The sequence below is a fragment of the Homo sapiens genome, chromosome 7 (assembly GCF_000001405.40).
Source record: "Homo sapiens chromosome 7, GRCh38.p14 Primary Assembly".
NCBI classification, from domain to species: domain Eukaryota; kingdom Metazoa; phylum Chordata; class Mammalia; order Primates; family Hominidae; genus Homo; species Homo sapiens.
Genome location: NC_000007.14, coordinates 155,799,823 through 155,816,527, shown reverse-complemented (window position 1 = coordinate 155,816,527; position 16,705 = coordinate 155,799,823). Strand labels below are relative to the sequence as shown.

Genomic DNA, 16,705 nt, shown 5'->3' with positions numbered 1-16,705 from the left:
GACAGAGCTGGCTGTGTGATCTTTCCAGCGTCCCCAGAAACTGCAGGGTCCTCATCTCTCAGAGCCTGCAGCCTTCATGCATGTGAGCCGGGTCTCCACGGGGCTCCACGGGGCTCCACGGGGCTCCACGGGGCTTGGTGTGCAGGCGGACAGGCATGAGGGCAGGAATCCCAGTCACCAAAGTGTCTCCTGCACCCTGCTTCACAGAGTGGCCCAGGCCGGGAAGAAGCCAGGCTGCACCCACAGTCATGGGGCCTGTGGCAGCTTGGGGGTGGCCCCGTGCCCGCTGCACAGCACTACTGAGAAACGCTGCACAGTGGGCACCCAGCGTAGCTGGCTCCACATGCCAGCCATGGTCCCCCGAGGCCCTGTGTGTCTTGGCAGCTGCCTCCCAGCGGGCCTGCCCTCAGCGCTGGTGCCATGAGGATGTGGCTGCAGGAGTCCAGAGAGCCCTGCAGCCACCCCAAAGCTCCTGGGCTTTGGCACGGAGAGGACAGCATTGCCTCAATCCACCTGCAGCCAGGCCACAATCAGGGTGCTGTGCAGAGTGTGGCTGGATTTCCTGGGCTATCCAGAGCCTGAGCCCTCCAGGAAGCTGGAGACTCACATCCCCAGGGCCCGGGGATGGGGAGGACCATGGAGTTAGGGAAAGGGGGCTAAGGTGCAGAATCCCTCCCAAATTCAAAAGGCCCTGGATGCAATCACAAGAGAACTGGAGTGCAGAAGTTCCACCGGCCAAAACAGGGAAAATCCAGAAAGAAGTGGAGACTGGATGGCTGGATGGAAAGAGATTGCGTGGAATTACTATAAGGAAGAAAAATCAAAGGGGAGAAGGACATGAAAGATTAGAGGCCAACCCCAGAGACTAGAAACAGAGGCAGCACCTGGAGATGCCAGGCAGGCGGGCTCCATAACTGCAGAGCCCAGCGGGTACAAATCTGGGAAAGGAAAGAGGGGATGAGGGGGGCGCAGAAACTGCTGACGGGACCAGGGGAGGATGAACGAAGGAGGCTGCCTGGCTTCCGGGCCTCCCGACCTGGGACTGCGGGGATTTCCCAAACCGGCCAAGCCCGAGCCGAAGGCAGAGTGAGGAGGCCATCTAGCGGCAGGGGCCGGAAGGAGGGGCAGGGGCAGTGCCCAGGAGGGAGCCTGGGGGCTGGGGCAGAAGAGGAGGCAGCTTCTGTCCTCAGCAGGGATGCTGGGCAAGGGGTGGAGGTGGGGGAGGGTGGGGGAGGGAAAGCTGGAGGAAGGAGCGAGGGAGGGATGCGCGTGACCCCAAGGAAGAGAGGCAGAGCCCAGGTAGATGAATAACGGAGCCCCAGCATGTCCGGATGTCTGGCCTTGTCAGGGAGGCTGGTGTTTGGAGCCTCTGCTGGTGCGGGGAGGGGGCCAAATGGTCTGGGGGGGGGGGGGAAGGCAAAGAGATAGAGCCACCTGGCCTCTGGAGGGGAAGGCAGTGCTGGGCCGTGGGGAGCAGGTGGGATGGAAGGACAGGGAGTGAAGGGCGGGAGGGCAGAGCAGCAGCTTCTCTGGGGGGCTCAGTCAGCAGCCTGGTCTATAACTGGGATTGCTTTCTGCGCCGAGCTCCCCTCAACCCATGCAGGGGGCAGGCCCTCTGAACTTAGGCGTGGGGGCAGGCTTTCTGGCCCATCATTATTTCACTCTGGAGGATCGGCCAGTCTACAAGGGGGGCGGCCCCTGAGGTGCTCTCCAGGGTGTCTAGGGCTGTCTGGAGATGGAGGGGAGGGAGGGGGCCTCACGCCATCCCTTAGGGCAGGGAGGTTTCAGGAAATGCCCTGAGTCACCCAAGCTCAATGCCAAGCCACGTCTTCTCCCTGCGCTCTGCTAAGAGGGAGCTGACCGCACCTGGGGGCACCCCACGTCCAGCTGTGCCCACAAGGAACTCTGTGCAGCTCAGGCTTTTGCTTCCAAAAGCACACCCCACCCACCCTGCCCCTTGCAGAGGTGAGCTGTGTGCACATGCCACCTCCCGGCAGGGCTGCACACCCAATCTCTCAGGCCCCAGGGTGGCAACCCGTGTGGGGGGCCTTCTGCCTGCATTTGGAAGGGAGTAAGTAGCGGGGAAAGACAGGGGGAGGAGGAGGGACTGGGGCAAGAGGAGATGCCAAGGGTGGAAGGCAGGGCAGTCAAAAGTTTGCAAATGTCCCACTGGGCCAGGTCGCTGGTCCAGCCCAGGCACCACCCAGTGATGTGACATCCACATGCTGTGCAGGTAGACACATCAAACAGGCCGGCCTCCTCTGGAGAGAACACGGGTCCTGTTTTGTGTCTGTTTTTACTGGGAACGGGACAGGCAGCGCAGACACACCGCCTGGAGAATCCCTGGGCTCAGCTGAGCTCCAGCTCCGCTCAGTGGAGGCTGCCGGGGCCTGGTCAAGTGGACGCTGCTCCCCCACGGTGCTCTCCTCCAGGGATCACGATTCGTCACAAACCATGGAAAGGAACAAGAAAGAGAGGCGGGAAGGGGAGCCCGGGTCAACCTCCCCAAAGGCACCCAGGCCACCGAGTCTTGTTAACGCTCAGCCTCTCATGCCCAAGACAGATGTGTCCTAAGATGCTCCTCTCCTTCTCTCCCCCACCACACACACAAAAAGTTGATCTGCAAAGGGAACTTCTGGAAACTTCCATCGTTTGAGGGCTGAGCTTCACAGGGGTCCTCTCCCCCTCCACTCCAAGGGCCCGGGGTCAAGGGAGAGTGTTTAACTTCACAGGGCCACATTTGCAGCATCTGATGACTCCTCAGGGTCAGGATTTCCCCTCCACGTAAATAACCCTCACTCTCTAATCCTATGCTAGAGGAATCATTGCACATGAGTGGGATGGCGATTGAGAAGGGGAAGGGCATGATCTGTTTTTTTTTTTTTAAAAAAAAAAAGAAAAGCAGGGTTGAGAGGGAGCTTCAAATTTTATTTTCCTGGTTTACTTAGGACTTTTGAGTTTTTTTCCTTTTTCTGCAAAAAGTGAGGTGATTATAGACTCAAAGATTGCCACCTCCTGGGCACTGTGCCCTCTTTCTAGGAAGCCCCTCGTTAACCAGAACACTGTTCCCCCAGGGCCCCTGACCCCTTGGGCTGCAGCCCCTAGGACTGGTGGCTCCTGTGCCTGAAGACTGCTGGCCTGCTGAGCCCCCACACAAGGCCAGCTTTGCAAGGAGCCTGAATTCCACATTCAGCTCACCCCTGGCTCTGCACTTTGCTCTGATCGATCGTGGGGGTTGTGTGAGCACAGCTTCGCCCACTCGCCTGCCCCCCCCCCAACACCCTGCAATGGCCTCCACACACCCAGCGCACACACTGGCCCCCACTCTCTCCCCTGTGCTGGGGTGCAGCCCCCAGACCTGCTTTGCCCATCCACCCTGACGCCCGCAGTTCACTCTGTAACTGCCCTTGAGCACGCCTCCATCCCATTTGCAGAGCTCTACAAAAAAAAAAATGTATTAATTGAAGCACAATAAAAGAGCAGTATTTTTACATTTTTCTAAGGCACTTAAAGCATTTCAAATACCAGTGCTTTAAGTTATGGTCACTCATAATTATCCTCGGTCCACAGAGGCTGAGTCTTCAGGAGGGGCTCAGTCCTCTTTCTTCAAAATGCAGGGAGAGCCAGCCTGCACTATAAAGTCCCTGGGGAAGAAAAATTAAATAACAGCTGGGCAGCTGTGCCCCTCAAATGTGTGAGCGACTCTGTGCTTGATGACTGAAGCTTGCGGGGGTTTAAACTGTCCTTTAAAAACTTAAGTTGGTTTTAACTGAAGCACCTACCATTCCAGGGAAAGTCAGGGGGAAACGCAAGGATGTACACAAAGCCGGGAGTAACTGCTGTTACCACAAGACATGCGCTCCTCCCTCCCGCCCACCTTTATCTTAGGAAAGATTTTTTTTTTTTTAACTCGAATCCTTCAGGTGAAAATAAAGCAACAGCAGCAACAGAAAAAAAAAACGTAGTCTTCTTCAGGGTTAACATCAGAAGACAAGCTTGTGCGGCTTTGGCCAATCAGATGCGCCCCTGGCAGCTATAATATAGTGCTAAAGGCAGCCTCTCTCACAAGCTCTCCAGGCTTGCTACCATTTAAAATCAGACTCTTTTTGTCTTTTGATTGCTGTCTCGCGACCCAACTCCGATGTGTTCCGTTATCAGCGGCCGGCAGCCTGCCATTCCAGCCCCTGTCTGGGTGGGGAGCGGTGGAGAGTCCCCCGCAGCCGCGGCGGGCAAGGTTATATAGGAAGAGAAAGAGCGAGGCAGCCAGCGAGGGAGAGAGCGAGCGGGCGAGCCGGAGCGAGGAAGGGAAAGCGCAAGAGAGAGCGCACACGCACACACCCGCCGCGCGCACTCGCGCACGGACCCGCACGGGGACAGCTCGGAAGTCATCAGTTCCATGGGCGAGATGCTGCTGCTGGCGAGATGTCTGCTGCTAGTCCTCGTCTCCTCGCTGCTGGTATGCTCGGGACTGGCGTGCGGACCGGGCAGGGGGTTCGGGAAGAGGAGGCACCCCAAAAAGCTGACCCCTTTAGCCTACAAGCAGTTTATCCCCAATGTGGCCGAGAAGACCCTAGGCGCCAGCGGAAGGTATGAAGGGAAGATCTCCAGAAACTCCGAGCGATTTAAGGAACTCACCCCCAATTACAACCCCGACATCATATTTAAGGATGAAGAAAACACCGGAGCGGACAGGCTGATGACTCAGGTAGGAACCCAGCGCCGGGGCGTGGAATGTGTGGCTTTCCAGGGGGTTACGAGAAGCCGAACACTTCCAGACTTAACTCTGTTTGCTCTTCGGGCAGATAGGAAGGTGATTTCACCCGCTCCTTCCCCACCCACCTGCCCGCCCCCCATCTCTTCCTCTTCCTGGAGGAGAATGGAGGTCAAGGGTCCAGCTGGAGAAGTTTAGGGTGTGGTGGGGGTGAGGACGGTAACAGACGTGGTTCATTATGGCCCTGATTTGATGAGTCTTGCTACAATGGCCTTCCCCATCCTACCTCTGCCCTGGCTTGTAACTTGGGGAGACCTTCACTTTGGGGGCGTCGGCCCTTTCCAAGTCAGGAGTGGAAATGGAAGGAGAGGCTGGGAATCCCCCTCCCACAAACATGAAGTGGTCTCCTGGTACTGTACGAACGAACGAACGTAGCCTTGGGCATTGGAGCTCAGAGCCCCCACGTTTCCCGTTGCCTCTGTGGTTTTCTTTCCCACCACTACCCCCACCCTGCACCTCCCCACCAAAGAATTCTCAACTGGAAAAGCCAGGAGGCGGTTCTGACAAAAGGCAGGGGCTCCAGGGGAGACTCCGCCCGTCCCTGGGTGGCTGGCTGTATCGCAGAGCTGGCTTTGCGATTGCGTGTCCGCAATTGTGCCCATCAGAGTGTGAATGTATTGATATTTCTTTAAGGATGCTCTTTCGTTCTTCCAAGCCCGAGGTACCTTAGGGGAGGGACTTAGAACTTATTGGCATTGCATCACTTTAGTTTTCAACCTGCTTGCATAAGAATTAAGAGCGAATAAATATTAGTGTGGGGGGAGGGGAAGCTAAGCAAAATATGAATTCCTCTCTCTCTCCCCACCTCCTTTGAGATTTCTGAGCTGCCAATCTCCCAGCCAATTCTAGACTTTCTGAAACTCCATGCACGTATAACTGAAGCCAGAAATGGGTTTCCTTGCAAATATAGGTCAACATCCTTTTTATTGCCCTATTAAAATATTCAAGTCCTACCTTTAGGGCTAGGTGCGTACAGCGGCTGATGGAGTGGCGCTGGTGGGGCGCAAGTGCAGGGGGAGGGTACTGACGGCAGAGAGAGAGGAGCTACCTCCGTGCCGCCCTGCTTCCCGACCCGATTCCCAGGCTTGCTTGAGGCCGAGAAAGGCGAGGGGCAGGCAAGGTAGCCTGCTCCAGCTGTCGGAAGGGAGAGGAATGGGAAATGGTCCTGATTTCCTTGCTCTCCCTCATCTGCTCCCGACCACCTTAAATCTGGACCGCGAGTGTGGACGCGCGCGCCAGTGCCAGACAGCAGCGCGATCCACAATTAACTCTGCACGGGCCATGGGGTGCCCGTTGCGTGCAGCTGGCTGGAGGGAGTTCTCCGGCTAGCCCGAGGCGCCCATCCTCTCGTCACCCTCACTCCCCGCGGAGGAGGGGCCTTGCCAGGGTCCCTCGGAACCCGAGAGGAGGGAGGCACTGCGGAGAGAGCGGCGGGGGCGTGGATACCCGAGGTCCCAGAGCCAGAGTGGGTCAGCTTCTGCCCTGCTCTGCGGGAGGCCAATACCGCAGAAGGGGTCCTGGGCTCGCACACCTTCCCAGGGCTTGGGCCTTGCAGCCCTGCTGCAAAGCTGCAAGCGCACAGAGCCGCGCAGCGAGGCAGACGCCTGCAGCCCCACTTACTCCCGGGTTATCGATCCCCCGCGGCTAGGGTTTCAGTGCGCGAGGGGCTGGGCTGGAGCCGCCGGGCTCTGCTGCTCCACGCGCGGGAGCGCAGGCACCGCAGGAGCTAACAGCAGCGCCGGGCTCGCTGTAGTGTCCCCGGCGGCGGGGGCGCGGAGATGGGGGCGCCCGCGCAGGGGCCGGGGCGCATCGCGGGCTCCGCCGGCCTGCCCTGGGACGCGCCCCCATCCCCAGTCCGCCGCCTGCCTGGCCTCTAGGCCTCCGCGTCCCAGCCGGAGCCCCCAGCCCGGGGGCCTCCCCCCGACCCCCGTCCGCCCTGCCGGGGGACGCAGGGCCCAGCGGCCCCGCGCCCGGCCACTCTCGCCGCCGCGCGCACAGGCAGCATTTGAACTTCTGACCTTCTGTCAACTTCCCTCAGACGAACGAAACGAAAACAAATACTTTTTTCCTTGGGCAGTGGCTATTCCCGTTCCCAACACAAAAGGAGGGGGAAGGACGGCCCAAGTGGGGGTTGGGTGAGGAGAGCCAGGCCGGGATTATCAGGCAGACCCCACAAAGGTCCCCTAAAACCGAGGGGGGTAGGGGCTGGCAGTCTGTGAGGTATCCCCGGTTGATCCCTCCCCTACCTTCCTTCTCCCGATTCCAGGAGTTAAGGGTGGGGGAGGAAGGGATGGGGAAGGCGGAGGCTCGGGTGCTGAGGGCAGGGGCGGGGTGCAGGAGGCGGCAGGGGAGCCCCAGGCCGGCGGGAGGTTTGGGGAGCCTGCTCGGCCGCCCTCATTTTAAATAACCACCTAGGCTCTGCCCCAGGTGCGTGACCCTCTTCTTCTGTCTCCCTCCCTGTCTCTGGGTCTCTAATGTGACTGCCGCCCAAGTCCCTCAACCATGGCGAGATCGTCCCCAGTGGAACTTTCGGAGCAGTTCCGGAACGCAGGAGCTGCCGGTTAATATTAACCCGGGAGAGGAAAGCGCAGACAGACACGCTCTCCCCGCGCGGGCCTAGGTGCCAGGCGAGGGTGCTGGCGGCCAGGGGGCTCCTAAGGGGCAGGAGGCCAGAGGGCCGGATCTGAAGCCTGGAGTGGGGTCCCGAGCCGCTACACTAAATAGATTTAATGTGCGCTCTGGGGCCGCCAGGAAAGACGCTCAGGTATGGGGTTGGGGAGGGGCTGTTCCACCAAGCTTGGGGGAAAGGACAGTGGAGAGAGGTGCGTTTAGGGGCTGGGGCTGTCTTGAAGCTGGGACGCCCCCGCCCCCGCGCTGGGGGAAGCCCACCGGCTGCTGGCGGTGACACTCGCCGGCGCGGCTCGCAGATCAGGGAGGTAGGCGGGAGCTCAGGCGTGGGGAACAACTTGGCCTCCGCCGACACAAAGCCCGGCCCCGGCGGCCCTGCTGGGCTTCACGGTGGCTGCACAGAGTCGGGCTTGATTCGCGGCACACGACCCAATGAATTAATAACCGGCCTGGGCTTCCCGGCTTTGCCTGCGACAATCCCGCCCAGCGCGGGCGGAGGAGAGGCCGCCAGCCGAGGCCGCGCGGAGCCCGGGCCGGAGGAGGGCGCAAGGGGCGGGGGCGCCAACTCCAGCAACCCTCGGCCTCCGCCCCTCACTCGCGCAGCCACCTCCCGTCGCGGCCCGGCTGGACCCGGGTCTCCCTGCCCGGGGTCCTCCATGCCTGCCCAAGTGGCGCAGCTCACAGAGCTGGGGGCCAGGTCATCCTCACCCTGCCGCCCTCTCCCTGGCTGCCCTCCTGGGAAGCTGTTTAAAGCTTCTTCGGCACAGCCCCAGGGGAGGGAGCTGCGGTGGGGTGGGGGGCTTGCATGGGGGTCCCTGTGCGTGTTGGTGGTGTGCGCCTGCGCGCAACGGGCCTCACATCATAGCTCTACACTGACCCTGGTTTACTGATTGATTTTCATGTAAAACGCGTTCAATCCTCAAGATGACCTCACTCAAACTCTGCCCTTCCGACTTTTTTTTTTAACTGCTGGCAGGCCCACAAACATGCAGGCACTGACCTGTTACCAGGGCGGCCCCCAGCCCTACCCCACCCCCAGTTGTTGCATGTTGAACTCTACAACCATATTACTGGGTTTTATTGCTGCCAGATACACAGGACTTTTCCTGTTGCGCAATTTGTCACGTCCCCTTAAAGCGCCGCAGCAGTGGGGCCAGCGTCCTCGCCCCACCCTCTCGAAAGAGTCCCCCCAACCCACGCTACAGTTAGGGCCCTGGATAGAAGCTGTCCCTCCATGGCGACAACCAGACTCCAAGCAGAGCATCCTTCCAGACTGGAGGAGGTTAGAGGTCAGCCCCGCCCTCTGCAGAAGTCACCTTGAAATTGCCCCTCGGCCTCCACTTGGCGCAGCTTCTTGGGGGATGCCACCATCGTCATCTGTGCCAGTTCCCCCTCTTTAAATCCCATGTCCCACCAGCAGCAGCAGGGTAAACATCCAGGAAGCAAGTCAGTGCCCCCACAAACACACACAGTGGATTCAACTGCTTTCTGTCGCATCCTTATCTGAGGGTGACCCCAGAATTCCAGGGGAACCCCCACAATCTGAATCCCAGGTAACCCCGTCTGCATCTGCCTAGTCAGTGTTTCCTGCCTCCTCCCAGGCAACTTCCTGGGAAACTCCCCAGGCGGAGGACTCCGAGACCTCAGGCCTTCCTGTCTCCCCTCCCCCTCCTCTCAAACCCCTCCCCCTCCCTCCACCTCTTCAGTTTGCTCTTCAAACTTGCTGGACGCCATTCTATGCTGGGGCCAAGAACACAAGAGCGGAGGAAGGGAACAGGTTAAAGAAAACAAGAAACACAATCAGACCACAGAAAAGCCAGGCAGAAAAGGGTTCGACGGGCAAAAAGAATGTGGCTGTCCAGATAAAGAATGTCTGTCCCGGCCCCGGCCTGTGCTGCAAGTGGCAACTCACCTAGCCGCCTGCCACCCAGGCTCCCGCCCACCGCGCAGCCCCGCCAGCGGCTTCTCGCCTCCCCTCTGCCTCGGATAGGGTTAGGGCCTGAGGTAAATAAATGCAAGGCCTTCAATTCTCCAAGCAGTGCGCAGTGCATTTTTCTTTATTTCTGGGAACTTGCGCCCAGGTCTCTGTCAGGCCTGCTGTGAGGGATTCTACGCGGGGAGAAGGTGGAGGCTGCGCAGGTGGAGAAAGGGGCCCCAGAAGGGGGGCTAGAAGTGGAGGGCAACGTGGGGGCGGGGCGGGTATCCCAGAGGGTGCCCCTGGAGGGTCCTGTAGTTGATGTCTTAAACATGCAGGTCACTTGTTTCAGAGAAACTTTATTTGCTTCTTAGGCCTCGCTAGGAGCATCGGCTGTTTCAGGACCTGGAGAAAGGCCCCCAGCTCTACCCTGAGAGGACGTGCTCCTCCACGCTCCTCCGCAAATGCTGTCCCTCTTCCCCAGCCCAGGGCCCGGCTCTTCGGTGTGTCTGGGCCATTCCAACCCCCGTCTCCCCACCTCTCCGCATGGCCCTCGCGCCTTGAGACTGGGCAGGGCAGGCTGATGGAGGGGCCGGGAGGGGTGGCGGTTGCCCAGGCTAACGTGTCCGTCGGTGGGGGTCCCCTTGTCTTCGCAGAGGTGTAAGGACAAGTTGAACGCTTTGGCCATCTCGGTGATGAACCAGTGGCCAGGAGTGAAACTGCGGGTGACCGAGGGCTGGGACGAAGATGGCCACCACTCAGAGGAGTCTCTGCACTACGAGGGCCGCGCAGTGGACATCACCACGTCTGACCGCGACCGCAGCAAGTACGGCATGCTGGCCCGCCTGGCGGTGGAGGCCGGCTTCGACTGGGTGTACTACGAGTCCAAGGCACATATCCACTGCTCGGTGAAAGCAGGTAAGCTGGCCCTGGCCCCCCGGATCCGACCCAAGGAAGGCCATTGGCGCACCTCGGCTTGATTCAAGAGAAAAAGAAACCTGGGGGGAGGCTGAGGGCCAGGAGCAGGGTCGCTGGGCGATGACTGCGTTTCCGCGGTGGAACCTGCCCTGTGAGGTGCCGGCCCCTCGAAATCACCCCTACCTTTGAGGCCACAGAGCCCAAGGTTCTCCATGCCCCGAGATGGGGTCCTGTGGCTTCCTGCCCGCTTCTGGAGCCCCCACTGCAGGGGGTGGGAAAGCGTGACTGGGGGAGGGGCGCTAGGCCCTTCCAGGCGAGGGAAGACAGCCCTGCGCGGTTAGCCAGGTCTGGGCGAGCTCCTTCCTCTCGTTTAGGGCTTAAGAACCAACCGCCCCCACCCGCTATCCCAAGCGCAGGGGTGTCTATCCTGCCCCGGAGCCCGCGTCCTGGCTCCTCCCCGCCGGGCGCCCGTGGATCCTAAGCTGCCTTTGGGGAGAGGCCTGGTGGGCGGCAGTAAACCCAGGGGCAACCACCTCCAGCATCTGGAGGCGGCGCGCCCGGAGCCTGCGTTCCTACTGGGAGCCGGGCCGGGACGCCCTGGGCGGCGGGCAGGCCCCGAAACGCCGGCCCGAGTCGGCGCGAGGCTGTCTTCTCTGGGCCTGCAACGCCACACGCTGTTGCCGGCGAGGAACAGCCGTGGAGGAGGCGCCATCGCGCGCACGCAAACCTCCGGCCCGAGGCTGTGTGCACAGCGCTCTTCTCCGCCCGCATAAATTGGCACGTTTAGCAAAGCCGTTCACGGTGAATTTCGGGGAAACTCTGCCTTCCTCAACCCCCTTCCAGGCTTCCCTACTTGTCTCCTAAATTCCATGTTAATGGCACTATGTTAGTAGGAAAACACTGTTAAGGTGTCAAGGCACACTTGTAGGTAAAGGCTAGAGTGGCTTCTCGTCCCCACAGAAAGCAAAGGCGTGGAGCGGGGGCGGCAGGGGCGGGTGTGCGGCCCGGAGAGCTCCCGGCTGCAGGCAGGCAGGAGGCGGCGCCCCCACCTCGCGGGCTCGGCGGCGGCCCCTGGGCCCAGGGCGCCCCCTGCGCAAAACCTCCTCCCCGGCTCCCTGCCCGCGGGGTCCCCCTAGCGGGGGTCTCCGGAGGCCTCCTCCCAAGTGAGCAGCGCTAATCCATCCCCCGGATCGCGCCGGGAGAGCGGAGCCGCGGCGCGGGAGCCGCTCATTGGCATTCTGAGCACACGGGCGGGGGCGCGGGGCGCAGCGTGTCAAGCCGGGCCGTGCGACTCGACGACTCGGGCTCGCCAGCGCCCGGGGTCGCATTCCGGGGGGCTACGGAGGGCCTCCAACGGCCAGCCCCGCACTTCATGCCAGAGAAACCGATGAGAAGATTAAAAGCCCCCTGTAATTCCAGCAGGAAGATTCTTTCTGGCAATCTCTATTTGCAAAAAGCATGATCCCGGAGATTGGAATGCAAAGAAGACGGCCCTCCCCGCCCTCCTCCCCGGCCCCCTGCGCTCCGCCCCAACTTCAATTATTGTCCTGGGGACAGTGAGCCTCAGAGAGCGACAGAGGGCTCGAGAAAGCGGGTAGTCAAGGGGCCTTGAGACCCGGCGCTTCCAGCGCTCCGAACAGGCCCCGCCATTTAAAATTCAAATACACATCTTGAGTGCTTGGAAGAGAGGCCTGGCTGTGCAAATAGTGCTTGTGAATTGCACACGGGGTGGGGGGGGGTTGCACCTGAGCAAATAGGGAGGGGGAGGCCCGCGAGCTGGGGAGAGAGTGAGCTGAGAACAGGGAGGGGAGAAAATGGAAGTGTCCCCTTCCAAGAGTGTCTCCTGTTTATCCCAGAAATCACAATGACAATGCTGGGCCCTTTATTGGATTTTAATTAGAAAATCCACACAAGCCTCGGATTTTCACACCTCGGCCAATCTCTGGAATGTTTGTCCAGTTGCTACAACTACTGCAGCTATTTTTCACTCCCCGCCCCCGCCCCTCCGCAGGCCCACGCCGAGGCGCGGCAGGGTGCTGCGGGCAGGCGGGCAGGCGGGCAGGCGGGCCAGGGGTTTCCGCCGCGCAGCCCGGGTGCTGAGTGCGCGAGCAGGCGCCGCGCCCCGCGCCGGGGCGGGAGGGAAGGAGGGTGCGCCCGGCGCCCGCGGGAGCTCAAGGAGGCTTCCTGAGGAATCCAAGTGCAGAGCAAACACCCTCTGGATGGATTCGCGGCGAGGCCGGGTGTGTGCGGAGCTGGGGGTGGGGTTGGAGGAAGGCGGAAGGAAAGAGTGTCACCGGCCTCTGCAGGAAACGCCAGCCAACCTCTGTGACCGCCAGCCCAGACTTAGAGAGTCGTTAAGGAATGTGTCGGAATCCTGTCCCTGGGGCAGTGGGGTTGGGGGAGGGAGGTGTGTGCGGGACCCGCCTGGAATCAATCGCCCCGCCCCGCGCCTTGCGCACCCCTGGCCTAGGAGCGCGGGCACCAAGCGTGCGCCCTCCTCCCCGAGACGCGCCTCCCTCTCGGAACTCAATGCCCTGTCCTCTCTTCTTTCCCTTCTCCTCACCCGCAGAGAACTCGGTGGCGGCCAAATCGGGAGGCTGCTTCCCGGGCTCGGCCACGGTGCACCTGGAGCAGGGCGGCACCAAGCTGGTGAAGGACCTGAGCCCCGGGGACCGCGTGCTGGCGGCGGACGACCAGGGCCGGCTGCTCTACAGCGACTTCCTCACTTTCCTGGACCGCGACGACGGCGCCAAGAAGGTCTTCTACGTGATCGAGACGCGGGAGCCGCGCGAGCGCCTGCTGCTCACCGCCGCGCACCTGCTCTTTGTGGCGCCGCACAACGACTCGGCCACCGGGGAGCCCGAGGCGTCCTCGGGCTCGGGGCCGCCTTCCGGGGGCGCACTGGGGCCTCGGGCGCTGTTCGCCAGCCGCGTGCGCCCGGGCCAGCGCGTGTACGTGGTGGCCGAGCGTGACGGGGACCGCCGGCTCCTGCCCGCCGCTGTGCACAGCGTGACCCTAAGCGAGGAGGCCGCGGGCGCCTACGCGCCGCTCACGGCCCAGGGCACCATTCTCATCAACCGGGTGCTGGCCTCGTGCTACGCGGTCATCGAGGAGCACAGCTGGGCGCACCGGGCCTTCGCGCCCTTCCGCCTGGCGCACGCGCTCCTGGCTGCACTGGCGCCCGCGCGCACGGACCGCGGCGGGGACAGCGGCGGCGGGGACCGCGGGGGCGGCGGCGGCAGAGTAGCCCTAACCGCTCCAGGTGCTGCCGACGCTCCGGGTGCGGGGGCCACCGCGGGCATCCACTGGTACTCGCAGCTGCTCTACCAAATAGGCACCTGGCTCCTGGACAGCGAGGCCCTGCACCCGCTGGGCATGGCGGTCAAGTCCAGCTGAAGCCGGGGGGCCGGGGGAGGGGCGCGGGAGGGGGCGGGGCGGGGCAGCAACAGCAACGCAAAGCAAAAAGACACTCGGAAAAGGCGCACGAACCAGACTGAGTTATAATAAGAATAAGAATAATAAAGTAGGACAGTCCAAAGTAGACTCTAAGGAAACAAGGACCCCGGGAAGTTTTGTTGTTGTGCTTAGTTGATATATATTTTTTGAATTTTTTTGGTTATTGTTTTATTTTGGTTATTTTTTCCTCCTCTCCTGGCTATTTATTTGTTTGGTATGAATAGATGTTTTAAATAATATGAACCGGACCTTCAAGAGCCTTAAATAGTTTGTTTCTTGGATAATTTATTATGATCATGTGAACTGTACTCACGGGGGAAAGATTATTTTGTGAGGCCAAGCAACCTGCTCAGAGTCTATTTTTCTACATGTCCCTCGTCCCGGCTGTCAGAAAGCAAACCTCTGTCCCCGCCATCCCTCCCTTCCATCTCCTGCTTCTCAGCAAGTGCAAACTCAAACGTGCTTCATGGGGGTCCACAAATTATATTTTTATACACAGAATTGTAAATTAGATTTTTTGAGAGATCAATACTTAACTGAATTACATTTCATTTTTGAAATAGTGTAAAATATGAAAATATATTATTTTAATTTAACTAGTTTCCGATGTAACAGCCATCTCCTCTGTTGTCTTTATGGTTTCATATTCCCTTTGTATTCACCATTTTGCCACATTCTTGGAAGCCAAGACTGTTACACACACAACATACACACACACTTTTCTTTTTCTTTTCTTTTCTTTTTTTTTTTTTTTTTTTTTTTTGGACAAACTGGAAGAACTGTTATTTTTAACTTCAAAGAATTTATTAGAAAATAATATTTTTTAAAAGCGCACATAGTGACGAGCCCACGAGGATGGAGCCTGCAGTTTGTACAGAGAAAACAAAGGATGTTTTTGCATTAATAAATTGAGAAATAACGCTGTAAATTTACTAAAATGTATTTTTGAATATTTTGTAATAGTTTTATAGAAATAAAATGTGCCATGCACAGAACGCTTAGTATCTAATAACTAAGAATTCCTGTTGCAGCCCTTTTTCTTTTAGTTTTTGGCTTCTTTGTTTGGGAAACCTAGCGCTGACAGGAGCTCCCAATATTCTATTTAGATGTGTTGCTTATACTGTGAACTCAGACTGACTGACTTAGGTAACCAAAGTAGGCACACAAACCAACTTGTTTCTTCTCATGGCTGGAGAAACCTCAGCTCTGTTTGTATTTATTGTGTGAAGCTCTTTCTACACTCCCAAAGGTTGGGAGTGCCATTCGTGGGGACTGTGCTGTCCCCCTCACCCCACCCCTTAACTAGCAAAGCCTGATGTGTAAGCCCAGAGGAGGTGGCCTGGGGATGGCCACCAACAACCTTCTCTTAGGACTCCTGTGTGTGGTTGCTGGGCAGACCCCTGGCCTGACCCTGTTTGTGCTTCTCTGATCTGTAGGGAGGAGGCTCATTGCTGCTTTCTGAGGTCCTGTTGTGTCCCTTCCAGAAAGCATCCTTAGAAGAGAGGACCCGGTTTGATCTTCTCTGAAGCTCCTATCCTCTTTTCTTGAGGGTCCCCTTAAATCTGAGTGGCAAGCCCACAGTGGCGAGGGCCAGTCGCTGGAATGTCGGGGCTGCTGTTGAGGTCCTCAGGCTACACTGGTTGTCTGTGTCACATGGCGGTCGGGCGTGGACTTTGATCCCTGTTGAGAGAGCATGCTGCTGTGGGCGCTGGGCTGGGGAAGGTCCTTCCATGCTTCATGCTGCCTTGGAGGTTTGGCCAAGAGGGTCTCTGCCCTTGGCGGTTGTCAGGGTCCCAGGTGGAGGACTACTCCCAGTTCTTTGGCTTACGGAAGGTGTCTGCCATGCTTTGTGCTTTGGGCCGAATCGTCTGAGCAGGCTGGGCCTTGGAAGAGTTGCGCTGCATGAGCTTGGGGCCTCCCAGCAGCTGCAGCCTGTGTAGAAGGTGGTCCAGGCTTAGGGAACAGGAGTGAACAGACTTCAGCCCCACCTGGCAGGGGCTGGCTCCCGAGGTTGGGCCCAGTCCCTGAGGGTCTGCTCTGCTACGGGTCTGCCCTTGAGTGGCCTTCCGTGGAGGGTGTGTGACCAGGTGGATGGCGCAGGGCCTCTGGAGCCCTCTCCTCAGGAGCAGTCCTCAGCCTTTTTCTGTAAAAGACTTTTCTTTGGTGTTCTAGGTGGTCAGCAGGTTCCAGGCTGGTGTTTACAATCTCGGAGGAAGTGCGATGGTTTCTGTTCTTTTGACAGTTCAGTCTGATTTCAAGTCAGTCGAAAGCGAACCAGAAGCACCGGGCACAGCAGCTCCTCTGGCTGTGTAGACAGACCTGGCAATGTGGCCGTGCAGCCCAGACGATCAGAGAGAAGCCAGGCGTTGACCAAGCCCCAAGGTGCCTGAGGCCATGGTGCAACTCTGCTGGTGACTGGGGCACCTTGGAGCAGAGCTTCACCCGGATGGGAAATCCTCACTCCTGGGTGGCACTCCCTCCTGGACAGGCCCGGTGGCAGAGTGTCCGTGCTGCTGGGTGCTGTCCCCAGCCCTCCTGGTCCATCTTCTTAAGATGCGTCCACTGCTTTATATTTAAAATTCTCTTTTTCACAGGCAAGGAAAGGAAACCACTGCTTAGAGACACTAGGTACAGGGCATCAAGAGGGTGCAGCCCAGCCCCGCCAGGACGAGGCGCCGACTTCTCATTCAGGGTTGACGGAGCCAAGAGTTTGTGCAAAATGTATGCATGGTGGTTGCTGCCAGCCTCCCTCATGACTAAATGCATATCTATTCCTGTCAAAACGTGTATCACAATGTACTTGAAACTGTTATCTTTGTGCTCTATTGTTTGAATAATTAAAGAAATTACAGAGACTCTCTTCAGTGTCTGTTATGTGGCAGAACCCCGCTCCCGAACTGTCATCTGTGTTTCTCATCGTCTTCCACGAGGTAGTGCTGGGACTGTGAGGGAAATTCTCATTGAGAGTGCAGACTCCATTCTCTCAATGGGTGGGTTTGGTCAGGCTTTGGGAATTT

General features: G+C 58.9%; 1 protein-coding gene across 7 annotated transcripts, besides 6 other annotated features; it reads left to right on the top strand.

Annotated features, from left to right (window-relative positions):
• Positions 322-823: an enhancer, noted in NCBI's record as "H3K4me1 hESC enhancer chr7:155608399-155608900 (GRCh37/hg19 assembly coordinates)". NCBI's record gives its function as "activates a minimal SCP1, AML or CMV promoter by ChIP-STARR-seq in primed H9 embryonic stem cells {active_cell/tissue: H9 hESC(primed)}" and the evidence as "EXISTENCE:reporter gene assay evidence [ECO:0000049][PMID:30033119]".
• Positions 1,122-1,765: an enhancer, noted in NCBI's record as "H3K4me1 hESC enhancer chr7:155607457-155608100 (GRCh37/hg19 assembly coordinates)". NCBI's record gives its function as "activates a minimal SCP1, AML or CMV promoter by ChIP-STARR-seq in naive H9 embryonic stem cells {active_cell/tissue: H9 hESC(naive)}" and the evidence as "EXISTENCE:reporter gene assay evidence [ECO:0000049][PMID:30033119]".
• SHH (sonic hedgehog signaling molecule) lies at positions 4,065-16,548 on the top strand. 7 transcript variants are annotated; one of them, NR_132319.2, is made up of 5 exons: positions 7,365-7,535; positions 9,689-9,817; positions 9,971-10,232; positions 15,931-16,070; positions 16,283-16,548. NR_132319.2 is itself a non-coding variant. In XM_011516480.3 (5 exons), exons 3-5 carry the CDS (start codon positions 9,779-9,781, stop codon positions 13,626-13,628), a joined length of 1,128 nt encoding a protein of 375 aa, XP_011514782.1. In that variant the 5' UTR covers positions 7,365-7,535; positions 9,106-9,403; positions 9,689-9,778; the 3' UTR covers positions 13,629-16,548. The 7 variants fall into 7 exon arrangements, 5 of the variants coding, with proteins under 5 accessions (NP_000184.1, XP_011514782.1, NP_001297391.1 ...); NR_132318.2 differs by having other exon boundaries at positions 15,861-16,070; XM_011516480.3 differs by adding an exon at positions 9,106-9,403 and having other exon boundaries at positions 12,802-16,548.
• Positions 9,424-10,392: an enhancer, noted in NCBI's record as "H3K27ac-H3K4me1 hESC enhancer chr7:155598830-155599798 (GRCh37/hg19 assembly coordinates)". NCBI's record gives its function as "activates a minimal SCP1, AML or CMV promoter by ChIP-STARR-seq in primed H9 embryonic stem cells {active_cell/tissue: H9 hESC(primed)}" and the evidence as "EXISTENCE:reporter gene assay evidence [ECO:0000049][PMID:30033119]".
• Positions 10,393-11,362: an enhancer, noted in NCBI's record as "H3K27ac-H3K4me1 hESC enhancer chr7:155597860-155598829 (GRCh37/hg19 assembly coordinates)". NCBI's record gives its function as "activates a minimal SCP1, AML or CMV promoter by ChIP-STARR-seq in naive and primed H9 embryonic stem cells {active_cell/tissue: H9 hESC(naive and primed)}" and the evidence as "EXISTENCE:reporter gene assay evidence [ECO:0000049][PMID:30033119]".
• Positions 10,393-11,448: a biological region, named in NCBI's record as "H3K27ac-H3K4me1 hESC enhancer GRCh37_chr7:155597860-155598829".
• Positions 11,269-11,448: a silencer, noted in NCBI's record as "silent region_18850". NCBI's record gives its function as "represses an Ori minimal core promoter by ATAC-STARR-seq in GM12878 lymphoblastoid cells {active_cell/tissue: GM12878}" and the evidence as "EXISTENCE:reporter gene assay evidence [ECO:0000049][PMID:35858748]".

What these genes read in the sequence shown, in the direction of transcription:
- SHH (NM_000193.4), top strand. Translation starts at nt 4,406, where the DNA reads ATGCTGCTGCTGGCGAGATGTCTGCTGCTAGTCCTCGTCTCCTCGCTG. An exon ending in CGGACAGGCTGATGACTCAG is followed by an intron (nt 4,706 to 9,970) that starts GTAGGAACCCAG and finishes TTGTCTTCGCAG; the next exon opens with AGGTGTAAGGACAAGTTGAA. An exon ending in CCACTGCTCGGTGAAAGCAG is followed by an intron (nt 10,233 to 12,801) that starts GTAAGCTGGCCC and finishes CCTCACCCGCAG; the next exon opens with AGAACTCGGTGGCGGCCAAA.